The 19,813-nt window shown below is 36.0% G+C and overlaps 1 long non-coding RNA gene across 1 annotated transcript in view; it reads left to right on the forward strand.

Moving 5' to 3' along the window:
* The window catches only part of LOC105377975 (uncharacterized), a 295,277-nt gene extending 290,581 nt beyond the window's left edge, over positions 1 to 4,696 (forward strand). Inside the window, exons 3-4 of the long non-coding RNA NR_134600.1 lie at positions 2,678 to 2,719; positions 4,179 to 4,696. This is a non-coding gene — a long non-coding RNA (uncharacterized LOC105377975). The remainder of the gene's footprint in view (positions 1 to 2,677; positions 2,720 to 4,178) is intronic.
* Positions 4,697 to 19,813: the final 15,117 nt, after the last annotated feature.

Below are 19,813 nucleotides of genomic sequence, written 5' to 3' on the forward strand. Positions count from 1 at the left end.
TTTATAGTTTCAGGTCTTTGATTCATTTTGAGTTGATTTTTGCATATAGTGTGAGATAATGATTGAAAATCATCCTTCCAAGGGACAAGATCCGGTTTTCCCAACAACACTTATAGAAGAGACTATCCTTTCTGCATTGTATATCCTTGGCAACTTTGTTGAAGATAAATTTACCATAAATGCATGGACTTATTTCTGGGTTCTGTTATGTTTCATTGGTCTGTAGGTCATTTTTTATGCCAATACCATACTTTTTTGATCACTATAGCTTTGTAGGATAGTTTGAAATCAAGTAGTGTGATGCACTCAGCTATGTTCTACTTGCTCACGTTTGCATTTGGGATCTTTTATGGTTCTATATAAGTTTTAGAGTCATTTTTCTATTTCTGTGAATAAAGGCACTGGAATTTATGTAGGGATTACACTGACTGGGCTTAGTATCATTGGATAAGGAGTTAACGTCTAAAATATATTAAGAAACTCGATAGCAAAAAAAAAAAAAAACAAAAAACCCAGTTTTTTAAAATGGGGAAAGGACCTAAATAGACACGTCTCAAAAGACATTATATAGAATAGCCAACAGATATATGAAAAAATGCTTAACATCACTAATCAGCATGGAATGCAATTAAAAATTACAGTGAGTTATCACCTCACATGTGTTAGAATGACTACTATCAAAAAGATGAAAGATAATTGTTGGCAAGGAAGTGGAGAGAAGTGAACACTGGCATACTATTGGTGATAATGTAAATTGTTGCAACCATTATGGGAAACAGTATGTAGATTCTGGAAAACAATAGAATAGAGCTATGATATGATCCAGTAGTAGTGTCTTAGTATCGTAGTAGTATGGACTTATAAAACTCCTTTTAAGGTTTCCTGTAAGGCAGGTCTAGGGGTAATAAACTATCTCAGGTTCTGGTTTATCTGGAAAAGTCCTTATTTCTTGTGTATTTCTGAAAATCAGACTCACTGGGTATAAATTTTTATTGGCCATTTTTTTTCTTTCAGCACTTTGGATATATTATCCCACTCTCTCCTAGTGTACAAGGTTTCTGCTGAGTTCCCTTTTATGTGATGAATTGCTTTTCTCTTGCTGCTTTTAAAATTATTTTTCTTTGATTTCCAAGAATTTTATTACAATTTTTTTTGATAAAGATCTTCACACATTCAGTCTATTTGGGGTTCTTTGGGCTTCATGGATCTAGGAGTTCAGTTTCCTCTCTAGATTTGGGAAGATGACATTATGTCTTTAAGTAAGCTCTCTGTGCCTTTCTCCTTCACTGTTCCTTCTGAAATTTCCATAATCCATGTGCTAGTTTTCTTGATGGTGTCTCAAAGCCATAAGCCTTTCTTCAATGTTTTTCACTCATTTTTATTTTTGTTCCTCTGACTGGGTACATTAAATAACCTGTATTTGAGCTTGCTGATTCTTTCTTCTGTTTAATTGAATCTGCTGTCGAAGCCCTCTGTGGAATTTTTCAGTGCTGTCAATGTATTCTTTAGCACCAGAATTTCTGTTAGGTTCTTCTTAATGGTTTCTGTTTCTGTTTTGAACTTCTCATTTGTTCATTTATTTATTTCCTGATTTTATTTAGTTGTCTATCTTTTGTAGCTCACTGAGAAAATAATTTTGAATTTCTTTGGCAGGCAATTTGTAGATCTTCATTTCTTTGGGATTGGTTATTGATGCTTTATTTTGTTCCTTTGGTGGTGTCATATTTCCCTGATTATTTTTGATCCTTGAATTGCCCTTTCGAAGTAGACACCTCTTCCAGTCTTTACATACTGGCTTTAACAGGAAAAGCACTTCAGCACTCAATCTGCTTAGATATTCTAGGCAGGGCATCCAGTGTAGTCCTCGGATCAGTTGTTCGTGTGTGTGGGTCTGTGAGAGCAGGCCTGAAGCCTGGGTCCACATGGGCCAACCTGACACATAGGTGGGCTTTGAACCCCAGTCTAGGGCTGCCAGCCTGGGGTTGGGGTGAACCTGGATTCTGGGTCTTTGGAAATGGATCTGGTCCTGAGTCTGTGGCAGTTGACCTGGTCCTGGCATTCACTGGGGTGGGCCTGGCATCTGGGTCAATGGGGGAACATGTGGATCCTGGGTCCATGGGGTGGGCTTAGAGCCTGGTTCCATTTGAGCCTGCCTTATCCTGTGGTTGGCTTAAAGGCTGGGCTTGTGGGTTGGCCCGATGCTAGGGCAGGCCTAGATTCTGTGTCCACAGGGGCCAGCCTGGAACCTGGGGCCACAGAGGCCAGCCTTGCACCAGGATCCACTGGGGCAAGTCTGGTGCTAGGGTCTGAGGCAAAGTTGTGTGCTCACTCTACTCCCTCCTTCCCTCTACAGAGTGTATCTCTCCTCCCTCTCTGTTTCCCAGGCTTAGGGGAGGAGTGACATAGGTAATGAAAAGCTATCCTTGCTACCTTCTTCAATTCTTCATTTTTAAAAATTTCTGTCTTCCATCCAGATGCTGTAATTTCTCATCTGGATTCTTTAGCTCTTATAAAAGCATTTTTTTTGCATGAATAGTTGTTTTAAATTGATGTTTCCAAGAGAGGATAGGAGCTGAAAACTTCTGTTCCATCGTTGCCTTAGTATATTTTGAGCTGTTATAACAGAATGCCACAGACTGGATGATTTATAATGAACAGAATTTTTTTTGTCCCACAGTTCTGGAGGTCAGTAAGTCCAATATCAAGGTGCCAGCATCAGGTGAGTGCCTTCTTGCTCCATCATAACATGGCATAAAGCATCATGACAAAAGGGCAAAGTGAGAGAGAGAGAGAGAGAGATAAAAGGGGACTGAATTCATTCTTTTATAAGAAAGCCATTCCCATGATAATAAATCCACTCCATGCAATAATGGCATTAATCCACTTATGAGGGCCAAGCCTCATGGCCTGATCACCTCTTAAAGGTACTACCTTTTAATACTGTTACAAATGGCAATTAAATTTCAGGTGAGTTTGGGAGAGGACAAACATTCAAACCATAGTGGCTATTTTGCTGATGTCAGCTGGCGTCTTTTCCTTATATCTTCAATTGCTTCTGACATTAATAGTAAATTATGCCAGCAATATCATATTACAGAAGTCCCCCAGAGCCACTGCTACTGCCTTATAAAAATGTTCTACTTCTGATGTCCTACTACTGATGTTCTGATGTTCTACTACTTCTGATGTTCATGTTATTTGCATTAAGATGGTGGAAACCCAAAACAAAATGTACTAAGAATGCTGGTGCTTGGTGTCTAGGACACTAGAGATACCATGATTGCTGTTAAAGTTCATTATTGCCACTGCATGCCTGATGATTGCTGTATAAGCAAAGTCTTTCAAGTTATTAATTCTCGTTAAAATGTTTCCTGATTATTTATTTAATTAGACCTTTGACAGACTTAGGAGAACCTATCTTTCAAATAAGCCCAGATACAGCTGAATCCTAGGACAAACAGAACTTAGGCTTAAGGTTGAACCTCTGCTATATTTTTTTTTCTAGTAAAATACTTGAAATTTCTTTATGTGCCATACCTGAGAATCCCAACTTGGAATAATAGAAATATAAAAGTTTTTTGACTTGGGCCGCTCCACCATTTCTTCTGGGACAGACTCTCAGACACAGAGACAGGCTACAGATGTGGGGCACCTTCTGGTACACTAGGGAAGTAGAAGGAAATCAATACCCTGGCAGTATTTCATGTACCTCCCACAACTGGTAATGACAGATTATTTCCAGGAGGGAGAGTTTTGACTTACATCACCTACACCTCTTGTAGCCAGCAGTGAGACCTCCACTCACCACTGAGAACTTACTTGAAGAAGTAGCATGTGCAGAAGATACTATCCATGTCTTGCATCCTATACATATGGGATGACTTAGCTGCTCAGGCTAGGCTGTCAGTCATTATTTTCCAATCATTTTATGCACCAGTCCGTGCTAGGTTTCCTGAGAGATCAGACACAGTTTTAGAGCCTAAATGAACTTTTCTCCTCACCTTTATACTCACCAGTTGGTCCAGGCATGAGGAGATTACAGTTCCTAGGGATTATTCTGTTGGATTCACTTTGTAATATGTTACACTAACTAATTGGACAGAGCCCAAATAATCTTCCTCTAGCTGGGGAATAACTGCCTATTACTGACGTTGATAATCTTCTGCCATCTCCCACAGGCATTATGGCCAGCACACTTCCTGCGAATTTGTACCACCACCCCTTATCTCATCTATGCTTCTGCTCACAGCACTGCACTGGAGCCAGGGGATGGATACCTGGCACTTGTATGTCCTATGAAGAAAGAGAGGAGGATACATTGCTTCCCTATGTATCCTTAAGGGATAGACCAGAGGAAAAGTTAAGTAATAGATAAACAATCAATAATACCTAATTGGTTTCCCAATCAATTAGCACTTACTGTGTTGGATTTGTTCACTTTCAGCCATAGTTACACCTTGAATTTCTGTATTTCCAAAGTGGGCTCTTTTTTTTCTAAGGAATTTCCTCAATTTTTTCGTGTAAGTAGGCTTCTGAGGAGTCTATTTCACTGATTTTTGTGATATATTTAATCATTCCAGGGCTACAAAATTTAAGCTGAATTTAAATTATTCATAATATAACAATCTCTCTTCCTCTGTCTCTCTTTCTTTCTATATCTTTCATTACATATATGTAATAAAATATTTTCATTATATATCTGTATATCTTTTATAGAAATCTTTTCATTATATATTTCATATATATTCATGTATCTTTCATACATTATATATATTCACATATATATCTTTCATATATATTCATATATGTTTCATATATTATGCATATTCATATATATCTTTCATATTTCTATATTTTTTTTTATTACATTTCTAGTCTCACTCCTCAAGTCCTCAAGGTCAGATACTAATTCCTAGAGCATGGTGATGAAATTCCAGGCTAGATAGACCTAAGTTCAAATCATAGTTCAGCTGCTTACTAATTATGTGGGCCTTGACAAGTTACTTATCTTTTTTAAGTTGACTAATATTTAAAGTAAAGATAAGAACTTTTTTAAGTTGACTAATATTTAAAGTAAAAATAAGAACACGACCTGACTTGTAGGGTGGTAGTGGAACTGAGTAAGCTAATGCATATAAAATCATTAAGAATAGAATCCAGCATATAATGTGTGCTTCATAAATGTTAGTTACTGTGATTGTTGTTATTTTTGCCTGGATTATAGCAGAATTGTCTTAACAGGTCTCCTAATGTTTATTTGGAGCTCTTCTAGTTCATTCTCCACACTGCTGTCAGAGTAATCTTTCCAAAAATTAACTGTGATTGTGCCATTCCTCTGCTTAAAACCAATTGATTTTCATAGTTTTTATCGTAATATTTAGATGCCTTAGCCTGGCATGCAGGCCCGTTGTAATCTCCTGCTGTCTCTTTAGTTTTGTCTCCTACCGGTCTTCCCCAAATTTTCATTGCTCTTAACATAAACAAATACTTAAATTTTTCTGAAAGCAGCATGCTCTTTTGTTTCTCCTGGATGTTGTGTATATTAACTCCTATTCATAGAACACCTTTGTCCTCATTTTCCTCTGTTTAATTTCTACTCATTTTTCAAAACCCTGTAAAAGTATCACAGCCCCTAAGAAATCCTCTAATTCCCTGAATTTGACTGAGGGGACCTCATTCTCTGCTTTGCTAGGCACTTGTCCACAGTCTGTCTTAACACTTTTCATATGGTGCAATTATCTCTTTCCTATCCGTGGACCCTTTTATATTGAAAGTTCTCCAAGGACAAACAGCATGTGTTATCTTATGTCTTCAATGCTTATAAGCTGCCTTGGAAACAATAGGTACATGTTTGCTGAATAAATGTCTGGTAGAAGAAGTGAGTGTATGAATGGACAACAAAATATGAGTGGGAGGAGAGGCACAGTGATAGACAAAGGAAGGCCAAAAGCTTTCCCTTCCTAGTTGAATTCCATTTTGCACTGCTAGGAGGGTGATGTGGAACTTGGAGAAAAGCTCTTGTCAGGGCTTTTCTAGGATCTTGGGAAGTATATGAGAAAAGCAGTTTGGGATTCTCAGACATTGCTGGGATAGGTTTGTATTTGGGTTGAGCTGTGGAAAGTATTTAATGGTCTGAAATTGCCCTTTCCTCAGGCTATGGTAAATAGCTGGGTTACTTATTTGTACTCAAGAACTCCTTAGAACAAATCTCAAATATCTAATATGTTGACATTTCTGTAATTTTATTTCATTCTGTAAGCTTTGTGGGGTCATAGATTCTCTCTCTTTTTTGTCCCTATGGCAAGTAAATGACTATGATGGCCTAATACATTTTTATTTATAAAATGATAGCCACATTACATAATATAGTGGTAGTGAAGAAAAATGTGGCTAAAATTTGAACTAACTTTTTATGAAAAGAAACTTTATTTTTTATTTGTTTATTTATTTTTTTTGAGACAGAGTCTTGCTCTGTCACCCAGGCTAGAGTGCAGTGGCACCATCTCAGCTCACTGCAACCTCTGCCTCCCAGGTTCAAGCAATTCTCCTGTCTCACCTCCTGAGTAGCTGAGATTACACACATGCCACCAGGCCCAGGTAATTGTTTTTTTCTTTTGTGTTTTTAGTAGAGTCAGTGTTTCACCATGTTGGCCAGGCTGGTTTCAAACTCCCGACCTTCAGTGATCCCTGTTTCGGCCTCCCAAAGTGCTGGGATTATAGGCATGAGCTACCTACCGTGCCTGGCCTGAAAAGAGACTTTAAATTCATATTTGTGTTAAGGTTGTTTAGATAATCCAGTATTGTTTTTCTTTCAACAAAATGTTCTCATAGTGCATAGCTTATTAATAAAAGTGCAAACAAGTACTAGAGACTGTGTAATTCAGTAGGTAAAATTCTTTATCTCTATTAAGTAAATGTGGTTTTAAAGCCTTTATTAGATGCAGAATTTCCCATGGTCATATTTGACCTAATAACCACATTTAAAAAAATAACTTTAAGACTCTCCAATAATAAAAAATAATTTTCTATATGGCAGTATTATCTGAAAGGACTTAAACTATTTTATGCCTTCACAATAAATATACTGTAGTATTTCACAGTCTCTTCTGGTGAAATTCAATTATTGGGTTTTTAATAAACTACATCATCAGTAAATTGAAAAAATGGTTTAAGGCAAAAAAATTTTGAAACAACTTCATAAACATTTGAAACCATAAAATTTTAAACATTCAAAGCTTATAAATAGAATTTTACAGGAAGTCAATTTGGCTTCTTACACTTTTTAGAATGAGATATTTGTTGCTAGTCTTAATAACCATAAAAATATTTCAAATGACCTCTACTTTAAATTGGAATAATTTATGCTTATATAATGACATTAAATAATAAATCATGATGAATTCAGAGGACACTATATAGACAATTTCCAAATTACAGATGAGTTATTCTCCCAAAGTTCTTTTGTGTATTTATTGAAGGGGACTTGGGGAATGCAATAATTAAAGGAGTGGTTGAGTTCCCAGACCAACAAATAGAAGTTACTTCCAAAGGAAGTAGAGTACTAAATCTTATGACACTTAATTACCACCACCTCACCGGGAATATGCATTAAGAATTTTGGCTGGGATTTCAGGAATACATCTTATTTTGTTGCAGTAGGAGTTAGAATTATTAATTCTAAATCACAGGCTTCGCATAGCTTCAGTAACCACATGTCTTGGATTTTTTGAATTGGCTCTAGTATCATGTGATGTTAGATCAACCACTGTATAGCTTGAGCTCCACAATATAGTGACCATGTTGGTTCAACATCCCAGCTTGTGCTCAGAATATAGCAAAGAATAAGACAGACATTATCCCCGCCTTCATAGACTCTTCTGTATAACGAAGGAGACACACAATTAAAATATATTTAATATGAAAAATTATTACCATTAAAACAAAATGTTACGAAGAGAATGAACAAGATACTAGGTAAGCAGAAAAGGGGAACTTACTATTGTTATGGTTTGAACAGGTCAGGAGATATGTCCATGAAGTGGAGCCAACAGGAAGAACTGGAAGGAGTTATCTAGGCCAAAAGATCGGGGGTGGAGGCCACATAGCATCATTAAAGATGCTGAATAACAAGGTGCAGTATATCAGATGAAAGGAGAGATAATCAAGGTTACTGGATTACAGCAAACTAACAATGTGACAGTGGGTGAGACTGGAAAGGAAATCAGGGACCAGATGATAGAAGGCCTTTCTTGGATGCCTTACTAATGATATTGGACTGTATACAAAGGGCAATGGGAAGTCATTGGAGGGATTTAGCAGGGAAATGTCTTGATTAAATTCATAGACCATGTCAATTAATGCTGAACAGAACTGAATTGTCTGGAAAAAAGCAGCAGTAAAATCTAAAGGCAAATGCTACAGTGTGGGGAGTGCTCTCTGATTCCTTCAGGCCCCTAGCTGCCGCACAGCAGGAATTTTTGGCAGTAATGACTCTTTGCATCTACTTTGGTTGGCAGTTCTTATGTGACAGCTGGCATGGCCAGCTTCATTTGTATGTGACCATTGCCTTTTAGCTGTCTAGTTCAACCATGTACTCAAGTAGGGTGGCCAACAATTCGAGCTTTTCCAGGACTGAGGGATTTCTAAGGATGTGGAACTTTCAGAGCTAAAATCAGCATAGTGGCAGACAAAGCAGGATGGCCAGCTGACAAACAAGAATCATTTTTACCTTACCTCTTGACAAGCAAGAATCATTTTTCTTTTACAGATTTTTTACAATTAGTCATTCAGCCTATTATGTAAAATCCTGATGGTAGTAGGAAACATTTTTCATGATAGTTCATTCCATTATTACATTTATTTAAAAATTTATTTTTTGTTAATCATAAAATTAATTCAAACCGAGCACAAACCTTATAGGTAGAGAAGTAAGAATAATTTGAAATCAGTCCTATTCCATTTTTTCACATTTGATGAGCTCTAATTTCTGTAATTAAAATAATTTTTTGAGTCAAAATTTATTTCCTCATAGGTATAACACATTCATTGGTTTATTTCTCAGGCCATACAGAACAATGTCTCTGATATACCTGAGAGCTTCTCCCTTCAAGTATTTGACTAGAGGCATGTTGTTCTGTACTGGATCTCTGATCCTCCTCAGACCACCTTCACCTGGGAGCTTCAACCACACATAAAACAGTATATATGGTTGCTTTCTCTTATGTAGAATGTATCTGTGTGTATACATATTAATATATACAAATATGAATATACAGTTTCAAATTTATTCTTTTTCACGTCTAAGAATAGTAACCATATAAATAGACATGTTTTAGTAGAGTCTTCAATGTTTTTTAAAATATTAAAAAATAGATTTTTTTAAAGCTTCACTCTATTGCCAAATGTATATCTTAGTTTGTCTTTTAATTGGCAGACAATGTTATAGATGTTCTAAAGATATTTTGAATGACTGTAAGTCTATAGTTTCTGACCATGTAGTAAGGTACCTGAGGTAGAATTTAGAATTACTGCCCATTTTAAGAGTGTGTACTTTAGTTTCCAGATATCAAAGTAAACACAAACTTCTTTTGTGGTTCATTCAAATGAAAACATTTTGCACACCACGTATTCATTAAATTTCAGTTGTAAAAATAGGTCTTTAAGTTGGTTATGGTGGCTCACGCCTGTAATTCCAACACTTTGGGAGGTTAAGTGGAAGGATTGTTTGAGCTCTAGAGTTTGAGACTAGCCTAGGCAACATAATGAGACCCCATCTCTACAAAAAATTTAAAAAATTAGCCAGGTGTGGAGGTGTATGCCTGTAGTCCTAGCTACTTACGGGGCTGAGGTGGGAGGATGGCTTGAGATGGAGAAATCGAGGCTGCAGCAAGCTATTATTGTGCCATTGCACTTCAGCCTGGGTGACAGAGCAATACTATGTCAAAAAAAGAAGAAAATAAAGAAAAGAAAAGAAAAGAAGGTCCTTAAGACACACTGTTATGTGGAATTTGATTCCTTATTCCTTTTCTTCCTCCTGTGTGTATCACACCCTCACCTTTCATTAGCATTTTGAACAGAGAACAAGGATCAGAGCAGTCTTTTACTTTTTAGCAATACATTTTAAGTGGAGGAAGATAGAGCTAGTAGTTATAATTAGGATTCTAGATTATTCACACATTTTCTCTTTCCCTTTTGCATGAAAAATTGAAGGCTACTTAAATGTTAAAAAAAAAAAAAAAAAAAGCAGAGGGTATTATGTGAATTACTCCGGTACCGGTTTAATCATGGGTGCAAATTTCAGGTAGATAATCTAAGGCTCAATAAGCAGAATCATGACTTTGAGCCCCAGATGTTGATTTCACTTCGGAAATTATTCAGGGTTGTTTGGCTTCTCCCTTAAATAAAAATTTCCTCATAATTACTTAATATTTGAGAAAGTTTTGAGCTATTTTGTAGAAAGGTCCTTTACATTATCATTTTTTGTTCTGAAGAAATCACCAAGTTTCGCAGAGATTATCTGAAGGAACTTACATGAAATCATTGGTGAAAAAAATAGTAAAGGGAACCATCTCATGCTATCGTTGAATCTTAAAGAATGTTTACTTAAAAACAATCAATTTAAAGCCGAGTACCATGAAGCTATACATGCAAAAAATGACTTGTTTGGGATTGTATGGCTAATAGTTATGAAATTGGAACTATGACATGGGTAGGTTTTCCTAACTGCAATCTTAGTGTTCTGCTGGTTGCATTAACTACACAGATTTCCCCGACTTTGAGCAAGGTTGTCATTTAGGAATTTGACTTCATTTAGGCTAGTGGTTTTTAGGGGTGGGATGGGGTGAGAATGAGGATGGAGATTATTAGAATCACCCAGAGAATTTCTTCAACATAAATTTCAATGGCCTGCTTAATCTAGGCTCCTCATTAGCAATGTCTTCCCCCACCCACCACCAGACATGTACCATTTTAATACACTTTCAGGATAGAGAAAAAAGATGTAATTTTAAAAAGCTCCCTAGGCAATTCTGATATAAACTCCCTGCCCAGGATTGAGAACATTGCTCTAGGCAAATATCATATTATCATGGACTTGTAAAAAAAAACAATAACATAAAGCCTTGGTTTAAAGATGAGTTTCAACTTATGAAAAGAGTATGAATAGTCTAAGAAATTTATGATTTTATATTCGTACTTTTTTCCTTTTGTCACTTTTATCTATTTATAGAAGAGCACTGTTAGAACTGAAAAGTCAGAAAATCTTTAAATAATTAAATGTCAATATTTAAAAACAAATCAGCCATGATCTTCTCAGGTCAATATGCTCTTCTAAGCAGAAATTTCCATAATTCTGGGTCACAGCTAACCCACTGGGAGGCCAGGCTTCTTTTGACTACTGAGTACTTCTACGTCGCCCACTTTGTTAGAGTGTTGAGAAAACTTGATCCTACATTCCCTATCCCTTTGACTGGCGTTCTTCAGGGGCACCCTTTTAACCTTTGACTAATATTTAATGAGGAACTCAGAGTCAGAATTGTGTGCATGTTTCACACATTCCCAGCAGTACATGGGTCCTCATCCTGTGTGGGTCATTAAGGACTCCCCTTTCAGGGCTTCTGGCTTCTCTTAACACGAAGCCTCTGAAAGCATCTGCAGCCTCACAGTCACAGCCTCAAAGCTACAGTATCCACTTCAGAATTCTGAGACTGTTTCGGCCCACTGTTTATTACCAGTACTCAAAACTCAGGTTATCTATTTTTCTCTCTTATACCCACTATTTCCTCTCCCCCAATTCATTTGCCCATTCATCTCTTCCTTTCATTAGAAATAATCTCTACGCTATTCTTAGGCTGTTGAGAAAATCCTTCTTTTTCCTCCTCTTTGCTTCAAATGGAACCTATAACACACCTCCTAGAGCAATCCCGCGTTGAGGCTGCTCATGTAGTCTCTACTAACATACGTGTATGCATCTTGGAAGTAAGAGCAGTATTCTCTTTGCTCCCCAATGCTTCCCCCCTCCTGCATTCTAATGGAAGAGTTTTTTCTATTTTGATGTTTATGCTATTAGAGCATCCATCCTATAACTTGGCTTGTCCAGATCACTTTCATATATTCATGGTGAATATTTGCTCATAGACTCTCTCTCCACTTTAATTCTTGAGACTGAACTTCTTTTATAAAGGTAAAAACTTACCAAATTCAATAAACACTTTTCTGTTTTCACTTATTTGACCTCCCTGAAGCATGTACTCTCACTTAAACACTAGGACCTTTTCTCCTAGGGGTCCTAGTAGGGCCCATTATACCACTTTACAGCCATGAGAAGAAATGCCTGTAAAATAAAAAAATTGTATTAAATTTTATATGAGTTCAATCCATTTTATCCTTGTAAGTATCATGTGAGGTGTTCAAGGCAGGTATTGTTGTAACCACTTTTTAAAAGAGAGAAAATGGGCTACAAAGTAAATGAGTAGATTTTCCTGAGTTGCACTAGTAGAAGCTGACAGAATGAGGACTAGCATCTAGGTCCCCCTTCTAATGCTCCTTCCACTATGTCAAGATATTTTAGTGAAAGATTTATAAGGATATAGAAAATGCCCTAATAGATGGATTTTAAATTTAAATTCTTATTGGTATTTGTGACTCAGTAGCATATGATGGAAACAACTATTAAAGTAGAAATGCTGATGTCGATTTCCTAGATAAACTTGCTTTCAGAATATCGTTTCAGAGCTTATTTAAATGAACTTAGATTGGGTGACATGACTTTCCTTCTGTAATTTCTATGTATTTTGGTATAAAAGAACTACTCTGTGAAACTTGCAATTAAAAGAAAGAAGAAGAATATTTTTTATGTAACCTCTGTAGCAGAAGAATCTTAATAGTGAGCAATAAAATGTTGAAATGAGATATATTTTAATTAGGTAATAATATCAAGCTTTGTTTATTAACTACTCTGAAGGTTCTAATGAGCTGTGAATTTCTGAGGGCTCTTTGGCAGGAAAATGAGAACATTTAACAATTTCTCAAACTAATCTCATTATGGAGAAGTCAGCCTTGCACATGCTTATTTAAAAATGAAGGAGAAATGGAAAACTTCTCTGGCTCCTTACACTACATCATGAATACAGCTTCCTTTGTTCTTTTATATATCTGAAAAATACTATTTGTATACCTAAAAATTAATAGGCCAAGTGTACTGTCCCAGAATGAGCATAATCAAGCTGAATTAACTTTCAGCAGGGCAGAGTTTCATAAAGATTTTCTGAGCATGAGGTCTTATCAAATCTCTTTATGTCCTCACATTACTCAGAAGAAGTGTGCTGTAGCTCAGCTATAGTCCCCTACATCATTAGGGAGTTGTGAAAATATCCTTGTCACTGTTAGCTCTAAGATATGCGGAAGCAGGAGGGGACCAGGTCACTACAAGTTGCAAAGCTAGTAGACATGATTTCAGTCCAAGTGGGTCTGGATCTGAAGCCTGTAGCCTTTTTGCTAAAAAATTGAAATTAGTATCAGTTCATCCTGATTACACTGCATTGCCACATGATTACTAAAATTAATTATTCAAATGTAATTTCATTGGTATGTTTTTGGGGTCAACAAACTCCAAATTTTGAAAGGTAAGTAAATAGCTATTTATTATCTTGCCATGTAGGCTGCTGAGATACACGTTTATGTGAAGATTTTTTTTTTCTGGTGATTTATTGCTGATAGGTATGGCAATGAAAAAAAAAAGAACCTTGTATTTTTGGCCTCTTCCTTCAGTTGAATGTTTATCTTTAAGAAAACTGCATGTTGCAAAATAAATATCCTATTATTTTTCAATTTAAGCCTTTTTTTTAAACTGGGGATAATACAAATTTTATTAGAAGTCAAAAAAGCTATTTAACTTGTAATCTTAGAAAAATAGTTTCACAATTTTAAGGCATATATAATAAAATAATATTTGTGTTGCTGATGATTCAGATATTTTATAGGACCACACTAGTCTTAACCATTATCCTGAAAAAATGTAATAGATTCTTTGTCTTGTCATTTATTTTAAGGTGGTTTCAACTGACACAATTTACAATATTTTGCTAGAATTTTATCATTAGAAGATCATTGGAAGATAGATTTCTCATGGAATGTTTCTCTAGAAATAGTTTCCAAGATTATAGAGTAAAACTTGTAACTAAATTTACCCATAAGCACACTTAATATTGTTAGCTAATCACCTGTGGGACCAGTCTAGACTGAATTTGAATTTTCCCTCAAGCAGTGGTGGCAGTGTTATTGGCTACTTACCTATTAGTACAAGTTGTGCTTATTAAATGTATGATTTAGATTCTGGTGAAAGATATAACTTTTCTAATTTCTTTTCTTTGGTATAGCTATCTAGAGTCTATTTGTACTGAATCAGAATTTTAAGAAGCTAAGGTAGAATAAGGAGATGTCTAACTCTATAAGCAAGCTGATGTTAAAGATGTTAATGATATACCAGTGGATTATTCACTCTCAAGGAGGCTTTACTCTCAAAGCTAGAACAACCAAATACTGTACATACAGTATGTGCCCTAGATATTATGCACTGATAGTAACATATTAACATTAATCCATTGTAGTCACTCCATATTACTCAGTTGTTTTATCAGTTTGGCTCCAGGTGTAATCCAGCTTGTGTTAAGATTAATTCTGTTAGTTTTTTTTTTTTCAAGGTCATATCAATAAGCATAATTTTTTAAAAGAAAGTTGTAGGCTTCTTGGACTCAAGTCTGCTATTTAGAGGAACCATAGCCAAGAATATCCTAGAAGCATGGAAAGTTTATTAAATTATTATTAGCTTTTGTTATTGTACAAAAATCAGCATGGATCAAATTATAATACTTCAGCATAGATTTCAGGATTTTTTTTTCTTTACAAAGCCTAGAAAATAAGCAATTCTAAATAAGTAAGTAATAAATATTTCCAATAGGTTAGCTTACATTTGAATCTTGTATAAAATTGAATTGTTCCAATCCCTTTTATTTAACATATAGCAACTCCTCAGAGACCTAAGGACAGAAATACCATTCGACTCAGCAATTCCTCAAAGGATAAATAATTCTATTATAAAGACGTATGCATGCATATGTTCATTGCAGCACTGTTCACAATAGCAAAGATATGGAATCAACCTAAATGTCCATTAGTGATAGACTGGATAAAGAAAATATGGTACATGCACACCATAGAATACTATGCAACCATAAAAAGAATGAGATCATGCCCTTTCCAGGGACATGGGTGGAGCTGGAGGCTATTATCCTTAGCAAACTAACACAGGAACAGAAAACCAAATGCTACATGTTCTCACCTAGAAGTGGTAGCTAAATGATGTAACCGCATGGACACATGGAGGAGAACAACACACACTGGGGCTTTTCAGAGGGTGGAGGGTTGGAGGAGGGAAAGGTTGGAGGAGAGGATTAGGAAAAACAACTAATGGACACTAGGCTTAATATCTGGGTGATGAAATAATCTGTACAACAAATCCCCATGACATAAGTTTACCTATGTAACAAACCTGCACATGTACCCCTGAACTTAAAAAGTTAAAAAAAAAACTAAATATTTTCTAGTTTAAAAAATTAAATCATGTTTTTCCTGCCATAAACATGGCATGAGCATCACATTCTTCACCAATGATTTTGCTTTATTATTGGACACCAGTAATATGCGCAGAAAACCATTAACTTAAATAATTACAGTTGGAAAGTTAAGTTCAATATTAACAATGCTAAGTCAGAAAAGTTTGATTTTGGTGGACCTTTTTCAAGGTTTGTCTCTTAAATATAAAATAACCCTGTCTCTCTGATGATTTTGTTCAGTTTCCAGTGCATGTTGCTGCTAACTCACCGTACAGAGCCCACTGGGGGGCCATGCTGCTCAAACCACATAATGCACACTATAATACTGAATTTCTCCTGTGGGTGATATGGATGACTAACACCACCTTCTCTTTTGATCCTTTCAGTTTCACTTTGAAAAATCTTCACGTACATAAAATTTGCCATAATAGTACAGTGACAACTCATGTACACTTACCTTGATTCATCAGTTGTTGACAGTTTACCATACTAGCTTTATATATTTCTCGAAAAATGTCATTTTTTCCTTTATTTCTCCCTTGTTGCCTTCCTCCTTCCCCCCTCCCTTCCTTTCTTCTTTCCTTCCTTCCTTCTTTACTATTTCTTTCTCTCATTTTTTTCTATTTATCCTATCTTATTTTTAGAACCACTTACAAAGTAGTTTCAGAAGCTTACCAAACTCATTAACTAACATACTTTAACGTGTATTTCACCTAAGAACAAACATTTCAGATCACTGATCAGACAGTTCAATGATGACCTCAGGATATTTAGGAATTTTTACTAATTGTTTCATTAATGTAGCTCCCTCCCCTCACATATTACATTTATCCATTTCTCTTTAGTATACTTTAATTTAGAATTGTTTACCAGCTGTTTTGTGTCTTTCATGGCATTGATATTTTTAAAAAGTCCAGGTTAGTTGTTTTGCAGAATATGCTTCAATTCAGATTTTTCTGTTTATCTATTCTTAAAACACCGCATGTTCTCACTTATGAGTGGGAACTGAACAATGAGAACTCATTGACACAGGAAGGGGAACAACACACATTTAGGCCTGGTTGTGGGGGGACTTGGGGGAGGGAGAGCATCAGGAAAAATAGCTAATGCATGCTGGGCTTAATACCTAGATGATGGGTTGATAGGTGCAGCAAACCACCATGGCACGTGTTTACCCGTGTAACAAACCTGCACATCCTGCACATGTACCCGGGAACTTAAAATAAAATAAACCAATAAAATCCTAAAAAAAGTACGACAGTAGGCCAGGCGTGGTGGCTCAAGCCTGTCATCCCAGCACTTCAGGAGGCCGAGGCGGGCAGATCACGAGGTCAGGAGATTGAGACCATCCTGGCTAACATGGTAAAACCCCATCTCTACTAAAAATACAAAAAAATTAGCCAGGCGTGGTGGCGGGCGCCTGTAGTCCCAGCTACTTGGGAGGCTGAGGCAAGAGAATGGTGTGAACCCAGGAGGCGGAGCTTGCAGTGAGCCGAGATAGCACCACTGCACTCCAGCCCAGGCGACAGAGCGAGACTCCGTCTGAAAAAAAAAAAAAAAAAAAAAAAGGTAAGACAGTAATACAACCTCTGCTATGATTTATGGTATGCATTTTCTACAATCTATCCAAAGCATGTAAAATGTTGGAAGTAGGAAGATTTTCAGAATTATTAGTATGAGAGCATATGTCAACTCTCTACTTTTGTCATTGACTTTGAGGAAATTTGTAGATTTTAAATGTTTTTTGAAAATATTTAGTTCATTCTCTGTCACTACTTTTGGATGAGAAATGATCCCAAGTATTGATAACATCTGCTTCTCTTGGTCATAAGAACTTGGATACAGAAATATGAAAATCAGGACACTGACCATTGTTTAAAAATAAAATGTAAATCAATTCACAATCAAACAATAATTTATTATATTATTAAAAGTATCTATGAATATTTGTTAAATGCCAGATAGATAAGCCAGAAAAATTTAAAGTACTTATTTCTAGTGGTTTATAATAGGTGGGAGAAAAGACACAGACACACATACAAAGTACTCAAATAAGTATGAATAAAGAGATTAAAAAACAGGACAGATAACTTCTTATGCTGCCTAGAGAGGAATGAAGTGGGGGTAGGGCTAGAGTATCAAGACAAGCTTTACGATTGAGATGGAACTTGAGGTATGGAAGCACGTCAGTGTGGTGGTAACACACTCAAGTTTGAATTACTCAGGCTTAGGTTTGAATTCGAATATGTAATATTTGGGCTGGGCATGGTGGCTCATGTCTGCAATCCCAGCACTTCAAGAGGGTGAAGTGGGAGGATCGCTTGAGGCCAGAAGTTCGAGATCAGCCTTGGCAACATAGCTGCCCCCCAAAAATGAAAAATAAAAAAATATATCTGGGTGTAGTGGTGTGTGCCTGTAGTCTCAGTTACTCAGGAGGCTGAGGCAAGAGGATTGCTTGAGCCCAGGAGATTGAGGCTGCAGTAAGCTGTGAACATGTCACTTACTGCACTCCAGCCTGGGTGAAAGAGCAAGACCTGTCACAAACAAAAACAAAAACTAAAAACAAAACGACAACAACAAATGTGTCACATTTGGTAAAATACAATTTATGATTTATAGCTTACTCTTCTGTCTGTTCTCTAAATTGAAACTTAAATACCTATCTTGCAATGTTGTGAGTACTTAATGAGATAATGAACATGTGTAGCCCAAATTAAGTAATAGATGGTAGCTGGAATTACTACTTAAATATGAGTGGTAGTTTGCTTCATACAGAAGTAGACACAAAAGAATAGAAAAGCGTGGCGTGAACAGTGTGCTGGAGAAAAGGGTGTCTTCCATTTGGTCGGCAAGCCTGTTAGGAGATTTCACACTACAAAATTTGGCCTTGGATTTTGTAGAATTATGTTTGCTAACCAAAGAAGAGAGACTGTAATCTATCAAACTGTTGCAGAATTTTGGAAAGGAGGTGTCAATATAAGATCTATGTTTTAGAAAAATCTATCGGGGCAGTGTGATATAGTCACTGGATCTTAAGAGGCCATAGATAACTTGAATACTGTGTGTGCCCATATAAAATATAAGGAGTTACAGACTTTTGAGTCATCTAATCACCATCCTGGGGCAGACATCTATGAGTCACTGGGCTTCAGGAATAAAATATTGGAATTTCTATTTATTTTTACTTCACCTTTTAAGTTTCTTTTTATATATTTAAAAATGTACATTATGCATTAGTAAAATAAAACAAGCACATCACTTATAAATAAATAAATGCACATATGTTGTGAGTACACACACTGGATTCTTTTTACCAAGAAGCAAGCAACCCAAAATGTTTTGAGACTTCCACTCCAGAGGGTCTTGGAATAGTTTGAGTGCTTCTGACCTGGAAATAGGAAAACCAATTAGTATAGTGTTTCAGTAGTCCTGATACATTTTACTGAAGATTTGATCTTGGTTACTAACACTGGAATAAAGAAAGGAGATACATTTGAAAGACTGTAAAATAAATTCATAATCGGAAGCTTGCAAGCCATAATATCATCATGGATATTTTTGTTTGTCAAGGATATGAAAGGGAGTTGTCAGAGATCAGCAAAGTAATGACTGAGAATACACCAGTGATAGGCAATCCTAGGGAATAGGGATTTACTTCAAAGACAAACTCAAGTTCTTTGATGCAAGGTTGCCTAATTGGATTATGAAATTAGTTGACAAATAAGAAAGTAAGGAAGTACAATCATGTGTATTTAGTTTTCTGTTTAGATGTAGTTCTATGTGGAAAAGGTGATTAGAGTAGAATGTTGACCTTCTTACATGAATTCAAAGGTAATAACTCAATTAAAATGATTAACATATGAGTTAGGTATAAGACTATAGGGAGGATAAGTTACATCCTTTAATGATAATAGAGACAATGGGCTAAGGTTAATTTGCGAAATGCCCTTACATACTGTATCTGAAGGGATGAAATTTTGCTGAGCAACAAGTTGCTAAGCTGATCAAGGAACTAAAGCTTTTCTTCAAAAAAGCAAATATGAATTAAGGTACATATTTATTTCTTTTATAAAATGACAGTAATATGTAATCCTCAGTCTTGTCAGTGTAGATGTATTCCTCTTTGATTTTATCCTATTCTGTTAAACTTGGAGGGTTGACTGATTCTTCTTACAAAATAGAAGGAGTATGATTAATTGTAA

This window comes from Homo sapiens, chromosome 6 (genome assembly GCF_000001405.40).
Source record: "Homo sapiens chromosome 6, GRCh38.p14 Primary Assembly".
Lineage (NCBI taxonomy): Eukaryota > Metazoa > Chordata > Mammalia > Primates > Hominidae > Homo > Homo sapiens.